The sequence below is a fragment of the Homo sapiens genome, chromosome 5 (genome assembly GCF_000001405.40).
Source record: "Homo sapiens chromosome 5, GRCh38.p14 Primary Assembly".
Classification (NCBI taxonomy): Eukaryota; Metazoa; Chordata; class Mammalia; order Primates; family Hominidae; genus Homo; species Homo sapiens.
The window spans coordinates 172,884,649-172,900,825 of NC_000005.10; the positions used below are offsets into that span (position 1 = coordinate 172,884,649).

General features: G+C 50.1%; 1 protein-coding gene across 12 annotated transcripts in view; it reads left to right on the plus strand.

Annotated features, from left to right (window-relative positions):
* Positions 1–16,177, plus strand: part of ERGIC1 (endoplasmic reticulum-golgi intermediate compartment 1) — a 118,433-nt gene that overhangs the window by 50,398 nt on the left and 51,858 nt on the right. For 11 of the 12 annotated variants that reach the window (NM_001031711.3, XM_047417410.1, XM_047417408.1 and 8 more), the window contains exons 2-3: positions 4,051–4,112; positions 12,354–12,426. In NM_001031711.3, coding sequence (NP_001026881.1) covers positions 4,051–4,112; positions 12,354–12,426 — 135 coding nt within the window. Of the gene's footprint in view, positions 1–4,050; positions 4,113–12,353; positions 12,427–16,177 lie in introns of those variants that run through there. The other variant, XM_047417411.1, reaches the window with a different exon arrangement.

The following is a 16,177-nucleotide window of genomic DNA, read 5'->3' on the forward strand; positions in this document are numbered from 1 at the left end:
TTCCTGCCCAGCCTAGAATCAGCCATTCCAAGGAGCTCTGACTGCTTTAAGTAGAGAATAGTGATTAGAAGCCAAGGTTTGGGTGCTCGTTACACTCACTGCTATTGGGCTGTTGCTGTTGCTGGATCTTCTCTATGGAAAGAGCTAGGAAATGTATGTATATATGATACGTATATATACATGTGCATATTTCAGTGTTTGGGTATATTGAAAATGATTAATTCATACTGATATTTCCATTACCACTATAATACCATGTTTTCACCTCCCTTCCCTGACAGTGAGGCACCTGGCCCCACTATCCTTGTACATGTACATGTTTGACCAGTCTCTCTGTATGTAACAATCTCCTATCTCTCTCTTCCTCACCCTGACTGAACTTAGACACTCTGCCCCGAGCCACTGCTGCCTCCTCACCCAGAGCAGCCTCTGACTTCCAGTTTTGAAACAATGGTTCTTATATTTTTTATTTTTTAATTTTTATTTTATGTATATTTTTGAGATAGGGTCTCACTGTGTGACCCAGGCTGGAGTACATTGGCACCATCTTAGCTCACTGCAGCCTCAACCTCCCAGGCTCAAGTGATCCTCCCACCTCAGCCTCCTGACTAGCTGGGACTACAGGCGCACACCACCATGCCCAGCTAATTTTGTTCATTTTTTTTTGTGGAGATGAGGTCTCTCTATGCTGCCCAGGCTGGTCGCAAACTCCTATTCTCAAGCAGTCCTCCCACCTCAGCCTCCCAAAGTGCTGGGATTACAGGCAAGAGCCATCGTGTACAGCAGTTTCTGTATTTTTTTAAACTGCGAGGCCCAGTTTCTGCTTGTCGGTCCCTGATGGTGACCTGGACAAAAGCTGGGCTGTTAGCCACCTGGGGTATCGAGCCCCAGGACACGGCTGTCATGCTTTAATCTGCATGGGAACTTTTAGATCCCCTGTGCACCCCCTCATTTCATACTCAGAGAAGCTGAGGCCCAGCAAGGGCCAGGGATTTTCTGAAGGTCTAACACGAAGTTGGGGTGGAGTGAGGACGAGACCCCTCCCGCTGCAGCCCTTTCCTGCTGCTCATTTCTCCAGTCTTAGGAGAACCCACATGCCCTCCCCACTGGCCCAGGCTGGCCTTCCTATGACACGAGGCGGACCACATCCTCTTCCAGCTCCGCAAGGCCTCTCCGCTCAAATGGTCACCGCCTAGGCCCCAGGCCTCATGTCATCTGCAGACGCGTCTCATTTGTCCTGTAGAGTGTTGGCCCAGCATTTGAGAATGGTGAACTTCCATGTAAAATTCCACATTTTTGGCTTCTCTTGGACACTCAGAAGGTCTGGCCTCCTGAGCCCGCATCTCTACCTGGCAGGTGTCAGCTGGGGCTCGGTGATGGCCGCCTGCTGGTTTGTTTTCTCTCCATTCCCTCTCCCCACCCCTACCTCCCAAATTTGCTGACCTCTCACAGTCTCCCACAGTAGACCGCCCGCCGGCCCCCATCGACACTTGGTGTGAGACTCCCTAGCCACAGCCTGGCCCTCAGGACCCTCTCCTCCAGCCCCGCCCCAGTTTTCCGTCCTCCTCTCCCTGCACATCGGGCTGTACCCTGTGCCGGAGAGAGGACAGCGCCCAGCTTCCCAGATTCGGTCCTACTCTGTCTTTGCTTCTGCTCCTCTCCTTGCCTGGGCTGCTCTTTCCCTCCACCCATCCATCTTCTCCCCCTCCTGCTCTGTGCACACATCACCCCCTGTAGGAAGCTTCACCGAGGACCCCAGGCCAAGTCAGGTACCCCCTCCTGAGTTAATCCAGCACCTCGTGATGAGGATGCCACTACCTTCTCCTTCCCTTTCTTTGCCTCTACCGCTAAACTACAAACTCACTGGGCCAAGGGTTGATTTTTATCTCCTTGCCTAAGGGCCTAAAAGAGGGGGTGTGTTAGTAGGCACTGCGTAAATGTTTGTCAAACAAGCGTTAATAATAATAGTAACCACAAATATCCACGTGGCATTTCTGGGGTGCCAGGCTCTGCCTAAGTACTTTATATGTGCTCAGTCATTTGAGCCTCACCACCATGCTGTGAGATAGTTACTGTTGTTGCCCCCACTTTATAGACAAAGAAACTGAGGCACAGAGAGGTTAAGTGACGGTCCCAGGGTGGTACAGTAGTGGTCATAGTTGAGCCCAGGCATCTGATTCCACAGCACATGCTCTTACCTCTCACACACCTCTCAGTGTTAAAGCGGCCCCCACTTTCTGACTAAGGGATATGAGTAAATATGGACAGGTGAGTTGCAGAGACCCCCAACCTCCCGACCACACCCCAGCCCCAGCTTCTAGTACCCTCAGGGGCACAAGCACAGGTGACTGGGAGCTAAGCAGGCGGCAGAGAAAGTGGTACCTTTGAACTTGGCAGCCCGCAGGAATTTTTCTCCCCTGAGGTCTTAGGAAACTGAGCATGTTTCACGTGTAATTAGGGTGAGCACACTGATTCAAGCATCGGCCCTTACGCAAGGTTTCCAAGGCATTGCGTCGGGTTTAGCTGGGCATACTCTTGTTTCCCAATCACCAAAGAGGAACCGCACACCAGCCTGTCACCCCCAAGGGCTGGAGCCGCCGGCCTCTCCAGCAAGTCAAGTTCTGTCTGAGAGCTGGGATGCCGTGTGGACTAAGGAGGGTTCTGTCGATCAAACTCTGCTGTGGGAGAACTGTCTGCTACGCAGGTTCAAGTGAAGGAAACGAAGCCAAGTGTGTGGGGAGCCTCCCCTGCGAGCTCTCTGCGTCACATCCTTTACAGACACTTCTTTCCCTCACTCCTTTCCGTGGCCTCACAGGGTCTAGTACTAATGGTCCCATTTTTACAAAGGAGGAAACAGGCTCCGAGAGGTGAAGTCGTTTGCTGAAGGTCACATGGTGAACGAGAGGACCAGCCGAGATTTGAACCAGGGTAGTCTGATTCCAGGGTCTTAACTCTTAAATAGCTGAAGCAGAGCCAGAATTAAACCTGTGTCTGTCTGATTTCCAAAACCCTGAATTCTCCCACTACACCACACGATTTCCCTGTGCTCTGGTGGGATCCATAGGAAAGAAAGACATCTGTCTGCTTCTGTGAGGGAAAGAAATCACACAAGACAGGAACCAGAGCCATCACCAGCTGATGCTAAGACCGTGGGCTCCTGGCAGGACTTTCTGTTAACCTCATGCCTTAGCATTCTTAAGAAGAGTCTCCATGAGGCAGACAGCAGGAGCTGGGGGGTGCAGCCGGAGTGGAAACAGGAGGAGGCAGGAAAGGGAAGAGGGGGAGGAGAGGTGACGTGGAGCAAGAATGCAGCATCGTCACATAACTCGAGCAGGGCTGTGCGTTTCCTTGCTTCCTCTAGCGTCAGAGTCACCCCCGATTCAGGGGTTCCATACATTCCATAATTATCCAGTGCCTACTCTGCACCAGGCCCATGCTAGGGTTTGGGAACGTGGCAGGGAACAAAACCTAACTAGGCCCCTGCTCTCGCAGAAGTTACACTCTGATGGAAGACCCACCGATGAGTGGGAGGGTCATCTGGTGGTTCACGCCTGTAATCCCAGCACTTTGGGAGGCCAAGGTGGGCAGATCGGTTGAGCTTAGGAGTTCGAGACCAGCCTGGGCAACATGGCAAAACCCCGTCTCTACCAAAAATACAAAAATTAGCCAGGCATGGTGGCACATGCCCGTAGTCCCAGCTACTTGGGAGGCTGAGACACGAGACTCACTTGAACCTGGGAGGCAGAGGTTGCAGTGAGCCAAGATTGCACAACTGCACTCCAGCCTGGGTGACAGAGCGAGACCCTGTTTAAAAAAAAAAAAGAAATGTTATGAAGAAGAGATGACAAGGGGATGTGATCTAAGGGTGTTGTGGGGAGCAGGGGTTCCATCAGAGAAGCATCTTGGAGAAAGTGTCCTGAAAGAGCAGAAAAACTGTGGGAAGAACCATGGTTTGTTGAACCATGTGTCACACAAGCCAGCACCACTGCCTGCTGCCTTGAGACCCACCCTTTGTGCCCACCTCACTCCTGTTCCATTTGCTCTCCACAGGTTTGACATCTACAGGAAGGTGCCCAAGGACCTTACGCAGCCAACGTACACCGGGGCCATTAGTGAGTAGCCAACCTCTGGCCATGCCCTCTGCCCCATCTCCACTGCCTGTGCCTGCTCTCTCTGTGCAGATCATCTGGGCCAGGGAGGAAAGAAGGAAAGACAGGAGGGAGGAAAGAAATGCTGAGCATCTTGCGGGGGCCCTTCAAGCATTTCCTCACTTACTCTCTATCCTCACTGTAACCCCTCAAGGCACAGGCACCATCTGGAAGGACATGAAAGAAATTGTCAAGAGTAGCTGCCAGGCTGGGCGCGGTGGCTCACGCCTGTAATCCCAACACTTTGGGAGGCCAAGGCGGGTGGATCAATTGACATCAGGAGTTCGAGACCAGGCTGACCAACATGCTGAAACCCCGTCTCTATTAAAAATACAAAATTAGCCAGGCATGGTGGTACATGCCTGTAGTCCCATCTACTCGGGAGGCTGAGGCAGGAGAATCGCTTGAAACAGGGAGGTGGAGGTTGCAGTGAGCCGAGATCACACCATTGCACTTCAGCCTGGGCAACAAGAGCGAGACTCCATCTAAAAAAAAACAGTAGCTGCCCCTGGGAGAGGAATTGGGCCCAGGGGTAGGAAGGAGATTTACTTTTCTCTTTATACCTTAAAAATGATTTGAGTTTTCCACCAAAGCATGTTTTTATCCATTAAAAAAAAAAATCACAATCTCATCCAGACTTTGGGTTCTAAAGACCATTCTTCAATAAAAGGAACCATGGCTCCTTGGAGAAATGGCTGATTTCAGGGCTAGGCAGGGTAAAGATAGAGGAGCCTGGAGTGCCTGGTGTCAGCAGGACCTAGGAGCCAACTTGAAAGTCAGCCTGCAGCAGTTTGAGTAATAAAATAAATAATGACATTATTGGCTTAGAAGCCAGAGAATTAAGAAAGAGTTCTGTGGGTCCTAATTGATATCAATAAATGGGGGAGAAGAGACAAATCCATTCAGAAGAATTCCAAATAATATACAGGCTGAGTATCTCTTATCCAAAATGCTTAGGACAAGTGTCTCAGATTTTGGATATCAGATTTTAGAATATTTGCATTATACTTATCAGTTGAGCATCCCACATCCAAAAACCTGAAATCCAAAATGCTTCAGTGAGCATTTCCTTTGAGCAACATGTTGGCACTGAAAACGTTTCAAATTTTGGAGCACTTAGGATTTTGGGTTTTCAGATTTGGGATACTCAACGTGTATGTAGCTATTCTCCCATCCAGGTGGTGGAGTTTAATTCCCCTCTCTTGAGTGTGGACTTAGTAACTCTATTTCAAAGAATAGAGAATGGGAAGGAAAAATAAGGCCTTTACTGAGGAAATATGGCAAGTGCCAGTGAGGAACCAAGTGAGAAAGGTTGGCATGACCAGTGATAAGCCACGTGCATATCGTGAGCCCCTGATAGGATGCATGGAGGCATCTTGCCTCCATGGGATCGTACCAAAAAACCACAGTTCAGTCTAATCATAGGAAAACTCACAATCCCAGGTCAGGGGACATTCTATAGGATACTTGGCCAGTACTCTTCAAACATGGCAAGGCCTTGAAAAACACAAAAGACCGAGGAACTGTCACTGATAAGAGACTAAGGACCCAGGATGAAAATGCAAAGTGGACTCCCAGATCAGTTCCTGGAACAGAAATCTGGAGTTTGTGGGAAAACTGGTGAAGCCCAAATAAAGTCCGTAGCCAAGTTCATGGTACTGTACTAATGTTCAATTCTTCATTTTGACAAATGTAAGATGCTAACATAACGGGAAGCCCAGTGAAGGGCGTATGGGAACTGTCTGTACTACCTTTGCATCTATGATTATTCTACAGTAAAAAGTTTTAAAAACAAACCAAAGCCACCTTGCAAACAGGGGATGCTTTCGCCTCATTTTCCCAATGAGAAAATGAGCTGAGAGAGGTGAGCTGAAATTTCACAGCTCACAGAAGATGGAGCCACGACTCATACTCAGGTGGGCCTCCTTGCACCCCACAAGCCCCCCTAGTGCCTGGTGTGGGAGAGGGAACTGCCCCCCTGATGGTCCCAGCCCTGCTGCCTGAGCAGGGTCCTGGGCCGGGCAGTCGGTCATATTGGAGTCCACTTCTCCCAGGTCAGGCCATTCTCAGTTGGGGGAGGACCTTGGGGATCCGGCTGGGCTTGTTGAAGCTGCAAGATGCCTTTGAGAGCCCTGAGGAAGGGACAGCACAGCCCCGTGGCAGGATGCATGTCACACAGGCTCTGTGTTCGGGCAGAGCAAGGTTCATCCTCCCATTTAGCAGCAGTGTGACTGAGCAAGTCACTCCCCTCTCTGAGCCTCAGTTTCCTGATCTGGGGATTAAATGTGTCCCGGGATGTGTCTTGTGCAGGGCACGTACTAACCCCTCAGTGCATGGATGACTCTCCTTTTCTTCTCACTGTCCTCCCGGAGCCTGCAACACATGAGGGCCTGTGGCCTGAGAAGCTGTGCAGCTTTGTGCCTTGACTCCCGAGGAAAGGATATGGAGGGGACCATGAGAGGAAAGAGCCTTGGTAGTTTATGAACCTGATCCAAAAAAATCAAATGAGGCTTCCTGCCCCATTCCTACCGTCCACCAGTGGCTCCATCCTCTTCCCTCTTCTCCATCTCTGCAGTCTCTCCCTTGTCTGGTATGTTTAACAGTCAGGTGTGTATTTTTCTAGAGTTTTAAAAAATATATTTAGGCTGTTTTTTTTTTTTGAGATGGAGTCTCGCTCTGTCCCCCAGGCTGGAGTACAGTGGTGGGATCTCGGTTCACTGCAACTTCTGCCTCCCGGGTTCAAGCAATTCTTGTGCCTCAGCCTCCCCGAGTAGCTGGGACTACGGATGCCCACCACCATGCCAAGCTAATTTTTGTATTTTTAGTAGAGACGAGGCTTCACCATGTTGGCCAGGCTGGTCTCGAACTCCTGACCTCAAGTGATCCGCCTGCCTCGGCCTCCCAAAGTGCTGGGATTCCAGGCATGAGCCACTGCACCTGGCCTATTTAGGCTTTGATATACCTATATCACTGTTTGAAACACAAAAGGGAGCATACTCTGCACACTGTTCTTCCCCTGCCTTTCTTCTGCTGATACATCCTGGGCACCTTTCCTGCCAGCGGATAAACAGCCACCACATTCTTCTTTCCAGCTGTGTCACATTCTGTTATCTGGCTGACCTACGGGGCCTGTGGCCAGCCCCTGAGGGTAGACATTCCCCATTCTGGTTTGTTGGAGATCCTTGTCCATATCTTTTTGTATCCTTGTACAGTTATTTCTGTAAGGTAACTTCCCTAGAAGAGGAATTACTGGGTTAAAGAGTATGTTTTTTTTTTTTTTTTTTTTTTTTGAAACTTACAAGGTCCTGCCAAAGGGCCCTCCAGGGACATGGTCTGATAGACAGTTTCAGCCACAGCACAGGAGACAGCAAATTTCCTTACACAAGAGGAAAGGCGTGAGGCATAGGAAGCCAGCCCTTAGCTACCATTTAGTGAATAAATATTTATTAACCAGGTCCTTGGGCCAGGCGCCATGCCAAGCCCTGGGACTGTGCTGATGAACGGGGCTTCCATCTTTGTCCTTGAGGAGCACACGACTGGGCAGGGCGGGCTGACTTGGACACACACCATTTCATTACTTTGTGATGGGTGCTATTAATAACTGAAGGAAAGATCAGGGCATTGGAGACTTACAGCTCAGGGTTTAAATGTTGCCTCCTCCACTTACGTGACTGTGTGACCTTGGACAAATTCCTTGACCTCTCGGAGCCTTGGGTCTCAGGTCCAGTGCCCCCTTTGGCTGGCCGTACCAGGTTTCCTACCATCAAGCCTTCTCCTGGGGTCACATTCCTACTGTCCGATGCCTGAGTCAGTTTCAGAAGAAGTCTGGAGTTAGAGAGCCTTAGAGTCTTGCCCAAACATGGACTGAAAAACCTTCATCAAGCCTTCAGTATCAGAAGGCCTTTCTGGTTGAAATAGTTTTTACCTCCTGTTGTGTTTTTTATTCATTCATTCAATAAATATTTATTTTATACCTTCTCTGAGCCAGGCACTGTGCTAGTCTCTGAGGCCACAGTGGCATTGTGACCTGGTCTCTGTCCTCCTCCTCTATCTGGGGTAAGGGTAACACACGCCATGAATGCGTGTGATCGGGACCTTTGGACCACTTGAGTCTCTGCCGAGTAGACTTGGCACTTATTGTGTCCACCTGCTGGGCTGACCAGGCTTAGTCCGAGCCTTGAAAAAGCACACAGATTTCAGGAGGCCTTTCCATCCCATCCCCCCAGCTCTGGTGCTCTGGTGTGGATAGAATTAGAACCCTGGGACACACGTCTACAAGCATGAACACGGAAAGTAGCTAGGAGACCTGAACCCATCCAAGTTAGCACTGACCTTCATGAACACATCCTGTTTTGTTTCGTTTTTTTTGAGACAGAATTTCACTCTTGTTGCCCAGCCTGAAGTGCAATGGTGTGATCTCGGCTCACTACAACCTCCGCCTCTCGGATTCAAGTGGTTCTCCTGTCTCAGCCTCCCAAGTGGTTGGGATTACAGGCGCCTGCCACCGCACCTGGCTAATTTTTGTATTTTTAGTAGAGATGGGTTTTCACCGTGTTGGCCAGGCTGTTCTCAAACTCCTGACCTCAAGTGATCCGTCTGCCTCGGCCTCCCAAAGTGCTGGGATTATAGGCATGAGCCACCATGCCCGGCAACACTCCCTATTTTGTGCCTGTTCATCATTACAGCATCCAATGGGTTGTCGGGGCTTGGGGGAGGAGGGTGTAAAAGATTCTGAAATGTGGGTCCTATATGATCCTGGTCAGAAAGTTGCAAGCTTCCAAAGCAAGGATGTTTTGCCTGCTCAGTTTTCCAAGAGGTTTAATAGCCTCAGTTTGCGGGTGAGAAAGGGAAGAACAGGAGCCAGGAAATTTGGATTGATAGCTGATCTCTTCCAGTGGATTTGTTCAGCAGCTGGAGAAAACAATTTGAAATTTATCTCTCTGCCGTTCGAAAATGAAGGAAAACACGGCCACTCAGTAAACTGATGTGGAACCTGTTTCGACATAGATTGCTGAGTGAGCAAAGCACGGTGGAAAAGAGTGTGCCCATTACGCTGCTGTTCACTTAGGGGGATATATATATATATATATATATATATATATATATATATGTGTGTGTGTGTGTGTGTGTGTGTGTGTGTATATATATATATATATATTTAAATGTCCATGGATGGACACATGAAACTGTAACAGGGAATCGGGGGCTGCAGATCAGGAGAGACAGACTCACTTTTTTTATACAGCTGGATTTTTTTTTTTTTATAATACGCATTGTTAACTATTTTTTTCTTTAAAAAATTTTTTTTTCTCACTGTCTTATGGTGCTGATGATACTTTTTTTTTTTTTTTTTTTTTTTTAAGTAAAACCTTTGAATGCTTCCCCGGTACAACTTTTTCTTTTTTTTTTTTTTTTTTGAGACGGAGTCTTGCTCTTTTACCCAGGCTGGAGTGCAGTGGCACGATCTCGGCTCACTGCAACCTCTGCCTCCTGGGTTCAAGTGATTCTCCTGCCTCAGCCTCTGGAGTAGCTGGGACTACAGGCGCCTGCCACAACACCTGGCTAATTTTTGTATTTTTAGTAGGGACGGGGTTTCACCGTGTTGGTCAGGCTGGTCTCGAACTCTTGACTTCGTGATCCGCCCGCCTCGGCCTCCCAAAGTGCTGGGGTTACAGGCATGAGCCACCGCGCCTGGCCAACTTTTTCAAAGTTTGGGAGAAATTGGGAGTAATTCTAGTATCCCCCATGTCTCAGGGTGGTTGGAGAGACTCAGTGAGCAGTCTGGGGACATCCTGCCCTTCACTCGGAGCCTAAGTTCTTGAGGTTCCTTTTCTCAGGGCTTTGCCTCTAAAACATATGGCTTCCAGTCCTGCCTCTCCTGCCACCACACAGTGAAGCCATGGGCCAGCCTCCTTGTCTCACTGTGCCTCCATTTCCACACCCTTAACATGGGCACCGCCCCCCTCAAGGTGGTGGGAGTGTGAAGTGACAGGACATCTGTTAATGCAGTCACAACAGGGCACATAGTAAGTGCCCAGCAAACACTCTCTTTCTTCTCCCTTCCCTCGGAATGCATCTTTGGCTGTTTGTTTTGAAGACAGATAGATGGCTATTTGCTTTGAAGATAGATCAATCAATCGATCAATGTTTGGCTGTTTGTTTTAGATAGGTAGATAGGCAGATCGATATATGTAAATAGATACAGACTAAGAAAAATAATAGAGATAACTGGCTGTCACATCCGTGACGCTGGCTCTGCCAGTCCAGGTGCAGGCTGCGGAGAATGCAGCAGAATCAGCAAGAGGGATTGGGAAGTCTTCTTTGCAGGAAACTAAGGGTCAATCAATGTGTTGAATCACTTTCCCCAGATCACCAAACCCTTCCCACATCTCTCTGATGTAAGTCCTACTCATGAGCTGATGCTCAGGTAATTATTACCTGCCGGGCTCTGTTTCAAGCTCAATCCTTGTGTTGCTGAGATCCTCAGAGAAGCCCTATAAGGCAGGTACTACCATTGCTGCCATTTACAGGTGAGGAAGTGGAGGCACAAAGAGGTTAAGTAACTCACTTAGGGCCATGCAGCAGGTGAGCAGTGGGGCCCCAGCGCAGTCCTTAGTGAGCTCTTGCCCACTAAGTGCCTCTGGGATAAACTCAGGTGTGGCGTATTCAGCCCTCATTTTGTATCCTGGGAGCTGACTCTCTGCCGTACACAATACCTGTTAGGCCCCAGCCCCAGGCCAGGCACTGGAACTCCAGAGTATTTGTCTTTCTGGATATCAGTCTAGTGGGAGAAACGGCCACAGATAACCGATAAAATGTGGGACATGTTCAAGCAGAGGCTGGGAACACAGACAAAAGAGTGACCAGCTCCACCTCTGGGAGTAGGGGAAGCTTCCCATCAAAAGGGACATGTGAGTCGGGCCTGGGAGGATGAGTAGGAGTTCAGCAAGCAGAGAGGATAACCATGGAGGAGGAGGGATGATGAGTCCAGGCAAAGGAACAGAAATGAAAGGCATATTTAGGGAATAGCATGCAGCTCTCTGTGGGTGGGTGGTTAGACATTGTGGGGAGTGTCAGGAGATGGGGCTGGTGAGTGGAGTTGAGGGCCGGACTCTGGGGCACTTGTTATGTCCTGCCCCCAAGGAGTGACTCCAAGGTCCACAAACCCCAGTGTCTTTAGGTGCCAGGCAGATGAGAGAAAGACAACAGACATGGCCGACCCCAGAACTCTGTTCTACACTCTGCATTTTAAACATATTGGACCGGCCGGGTGTAGTGGCTCACACCTGTAATCCCAGCACTTTGGGAGGCTGAGGCGGGCGGTTCACTTGAGATCAGGAGTTCAAGACCAGCCCGGCCAACATGGTGAAACCCCGTCTCTACTAAAAATAAAAAAATTAGCTGGGTGTCGTAGCAGGCACCTGTAATCCCAGCTACTTGGGAGGCTGAGGCAGAAGAATCGTTTGAACCCAGGAGGTGGAAGTTGCAGTGAGCCGAGATTGCGCCACTGCACTCCAGCCTGGGCAACAGAGTCTCAAAAGTAAAGAAATAATAAGCATATTGGACCATTCTTCACTTCCATAAAGAATTATTTCTTCTCTTGAAGCACCGCTGTCTATAGCCCCTTCTAAGGACAGGGGCACCGTGTGGATGGCACCACAGAGGGTGGTGAGAAACAGCCACAGACTCTGCCTCAGCCTCAGAACCAGAGAGGCAGAAGGGAGTGGTGGGGCCTGTGGCAAACTCATGGGCTCCGACCCTCCGTGGGAACAAGGGTGAGATGTTCTGGAGAAGCCAGAATGCTGGCCTTTTATGTGAAATCTGCTGACTGTTCAAGGTGGACTCCAGATTGTGAAATATGTTGTCACTCGAGCCAAACAGAACACATTTGTGGGCCACCGGTTTGCAGCCTCTACTTTTGGCTGGCCTTTGCATTAAAGAGCTCTCCTGGAAGGAAGCGGGGCCAGCCCCAGGAGGATTGCTCATGTCGGCAGGTTGATCCACACCTGGAGGCCAGACCAGTACCCCAAAGGCAGGGGGTGGGGCTGCTTCATATTGAGGCTCGAGTCAGAAGGGGCTCTGGAGGGTCTGTGGGCACAGCCCCACACCCTTGTCCTGGGGCCTCTTTCCTCTTCCCTCTAGGCTGGTCTCCCTTCGTCAGTGCCCACCACCCTTAACAGTTTGCATTTCTGTTGTTTCTTCCAGTCTCCATCTGCTGCTGCCTCTTCATCCTCTTCCTCTTCCTCTCGGAGCTCACCGGATTTATAACGACAGAAGTGTAAGTCATACTTTCCCGATGGGGCATTCCAGGATGTTCTGGGACCCCAGACAAGAAGAGGGAGGGGTCTTTGGCCAGGTTTGGTGGCTAACACCTGTAATCCCAACACTTTGGGAGGCCGAGGCGGGCGGATCACCTGAGGTCAGGAGTTGGAGACCAGCCTGGCCAACATGCTGATACCCTGTCTACACTAAAAATACAAAAATTAGCTGGGCGTGGTGGCGGGCACCTATAATCCCAGCTACTGGGGAGGCTGAGGCAGGAGAATTGCTTGACCCTGGGAGGCAGAGGTTGCAGTGAACCAAGAGTGCGCCACTGCACTCCAGCCTGAATGACAAAGCAAGACCCTGTTTCAAAAAAAAAAAAAAAAGAGAGAGAGAGGAGTCTTAAAAAGGAGAGCAAGTTCCAAACCTTCCAACTTCTGTCTCCAGGCCTGTGGCATCGGTTGCTCTTCTGTTTCTTAAAAGGACTTTAAAGTGAGAGCAAAAGTGAATATTGCCTTGTTAAAGCTGAAGGGAACATTTTGGTTCCATTCCGTGGGGGTTCTCCTGGGCTCAAAGATGAACAGAAATAATTTGCACATCTCTGCCATCCCTTTGTTTGGCCAGTGGGCTTTTTTTCCCTCTGAATCATCACAGGGTCATTTGATGTGAGAGCCGAAGAGTTCAGTGAAACTAATGGGTACAGCTTCCTACCGGAGGGGGCGAGGTTGCTGACATCAGCGCCCGGCCCCCTGGACTAACCCCCTTCCCATTTCTCAGGCCCACACTTGGTGAGGAATCGGTGCAGGCTTCCTGGCAGTGGCTGACGCAGAGTTAAACCATTCCTGATTCCTAGAATTATCTGTTGTCTGGATAACCTAGTAAACGCTCTGGGGTGTGTGTAACAGAATGCCATTAGGATTATGCAGTCACGACCTCATCGGACGCCCCTCTGTGATGGAATTAGACCCAGGAGCTTCCTGCCTTTGGCACTGGCTTGAGGCTTCAAAGCCTCTTCATTTCTGTGTTTACAGCCCGGAAAGTCATCACGGAGCTCGGCCCTGGCCACCCACTCTCCTGCTCAACACTGGAATTTTCTTTTTCACTAATGGGATTTCTTGGTTTCCTTTGCCTCCACTCAGCCACAAGACAATAGGAAACTAAATACATAGCTGCTTAGCCCAAGAAGACTCTCATTATACAAGCATTACCACCTTTAGTTCTCAAACAGCCTCAGGAGGGAGCTGCCCCCTCTTTACAAAGAGGAAATTGAGGCCCAGGGAGGTGGAGGGACCTGCCCACAGCCATACAGTTAGGAGCTGGCTCCCAGCCCTGCCTATCTCCCTAGCCCACATGTGTTTGACCAGCACACTGAAAGGCCTATGAGACAGGAGGGCTGGTCTCACCTTGTTTCTGGGTATACCTTTCAGCCCTCCCCTGGCATGGGAGAGTTTGCCTTTCCTGGTCACTCTGATCCTGTTTTAACCCTGATGGCGCCAAAGCCCAGGGGACCTTTTACAGTGGTGGGAAGAGTACAAGATAAGGCATTGGGAGACCCAGGGCCAGGTCTCTGCTTAATTACTACTTTGCTGTGTGACCCTATGCAAGTTGCCGAACCCCTCTGGGTCTCAGTATTGGTAGCCAAATGAAGGAGAGTAGACCAGAGTCAGAGCTCCCTTCCAGCTCTGGGAGAGGTTGGTCTGCTTCCCAAGACATGACCCTGTGGCCATGCAGGGTTCGAAGAAGGGGTTTTATTCCCCCCAGGCCTCTAATGGGAGATGGCCATGTCCAAGTCAAGCATCTTCCCCTCTGTACAACTCAGTCACTGGACATCTTAGGATCACCCTATCATGAATCAGAGCTCGAAGCAGGGAGAGCGGCAAGAGGTTGAGACTTGCTAATGTTATGAGGTACCTGTTGTATGCCAGGCACCCACTGGCCTCTGCAGGCTGTACCCCACCCTCTAGGAGGGGACCTGCTTGGCTTGGCAGGCCTGTCATGTTCTGAGCAAGGTGACAGAGGCACACATGTGTCATCTGCTGAGACCAGGCACCAGGCAGGTGGCTTTATGTGCTGTGGGCAGGACACCAGCAGGTGCAAAGGGCCTCAGGCAGGGATGACCTGGTGTATGTGAAGGCAGGAAGAAGGCCAATCAGCCAGGTCAAAGTGAGCAAGCGGAGAGGGTAGGAGGTAGAGCAGGCAGGACGGAGAGGGGCCAGGCCTTCTGAGCTGCCAGGTAGAATTGGGAGTTACTTCTTTTTTTTTTTTTTTTTTTTTTTGGAGACGGAGTCTCGCTCTGTCGTCCAGGCTGTAGTGCAGTGGCGTGATCTCGGCTCACTGCAAGCTCCGCCTCCCGAGTTCAAGAGATTCTTGTGCTTTGCCTCCTGAGTAACTGGAATTACAGGCAAGCACCACCATGTCCAGCTAATTTTTGTATTTTTAGTAGAGACAGCCTTTCACCATTTTGGTGAGGCTGGTCTCGAACTCCTGACCTCAAATGATCCACCCGCCTCAGCCTGTAATCCCAGGCTGGGATTACAGGCGTGAGCCACTGCGCCTAGCCTGGGACTCACTTCTTGATGATGAGCTCGTGGAGCCCAGGGCTGGACCTGCACACTCACTGCTCTGTGGCTCCACACATGGAGGAGCTGAAAACGCCAGTGGTAGACACAGTCAACAAGCAAACAAAACTAGACTGTATCGATCAGGGGCAAGTACTCCAAAGACAAGAACTAAAGCAGGGCAGGAGGTAGAAAATGAGATGGCTGCAGGTACATGATATTTTATGAGGATCAAACAAGATTATTTAGCTGAAAGCTAACTTAATATAGTGCGGCTATACTTTAATATCATAAGGTCCATATCTCTTCGTGCATTTATTCATTTCCTACATAGTCTGCATCTAACTCTAAAAAGGTTTTAAGGCCGCTCCGCACCAGGCATATAAGTACTCAGGGAATGTGAATTCCTTGTCCCCTCTTCCGCTTTGAGTTAAGAAGATGCCTCTCTTGCCTGCTGCTGACAGCGTGTGGGGTGGCATTCCCAGCTCATCCCACATGAGGTGGGGCACTGAGGCAATGGGCTGCCAACAAGTGAGTTTTGACGTCACAGCTTGAGGCTCGAGCAGGTGGGGCCCCACCCGCAGAATGCCCGGGAGCATTGGGGAAGGGCCCTTCCAGCAAGCCCAGACAACTCATGCAGCTTCCCAAGGGCAGGGCTGCTTCTTTCTGAAGAGCACAGTGTGTTCCCACTGCTCCCCATTCCCCCGTGCCAGGACTTCCTCTCCCTCTCTCCCAGCGGCATCCCGGACGCTCTGATCCCACCGAGTCCCTGGAGAGGTACAAAGCTTAGGGATGAGGGGAGGAAGGGGGCCAGGTGCAGTGGCTCACACCTGTAATCCCAGCACTTTGAAAAGCCAAGGCCAGAGGATCACTTAGCCCAGGAGTTCGAGACCAGCCTGGACAACACAGTGAGATCCTGTCTCTGCAAAAAAATTTTAAAAACATTAGTTAGCCGTGGACACACACACCTGTAGTCCCAGCTACTTGGGAGGCTGAGGTGGGAGGATCACTTGAGCTCAAGAGATCCAGGCTGCAGTGAGCCATGATTGCACCACGGCACTCCAGCCTGGGAGACAGAGCGAGACCCTATCTCAAAAAAAAAAAACAAAAAAAAACATGAGGACATTTTTTGAGCATTTGCCTTGAGTCCAACCCTGTGCTAAGTCAGCGGCTGGAGAGAGGGAGGGAGGCAGAGATGAATAGAGAGAT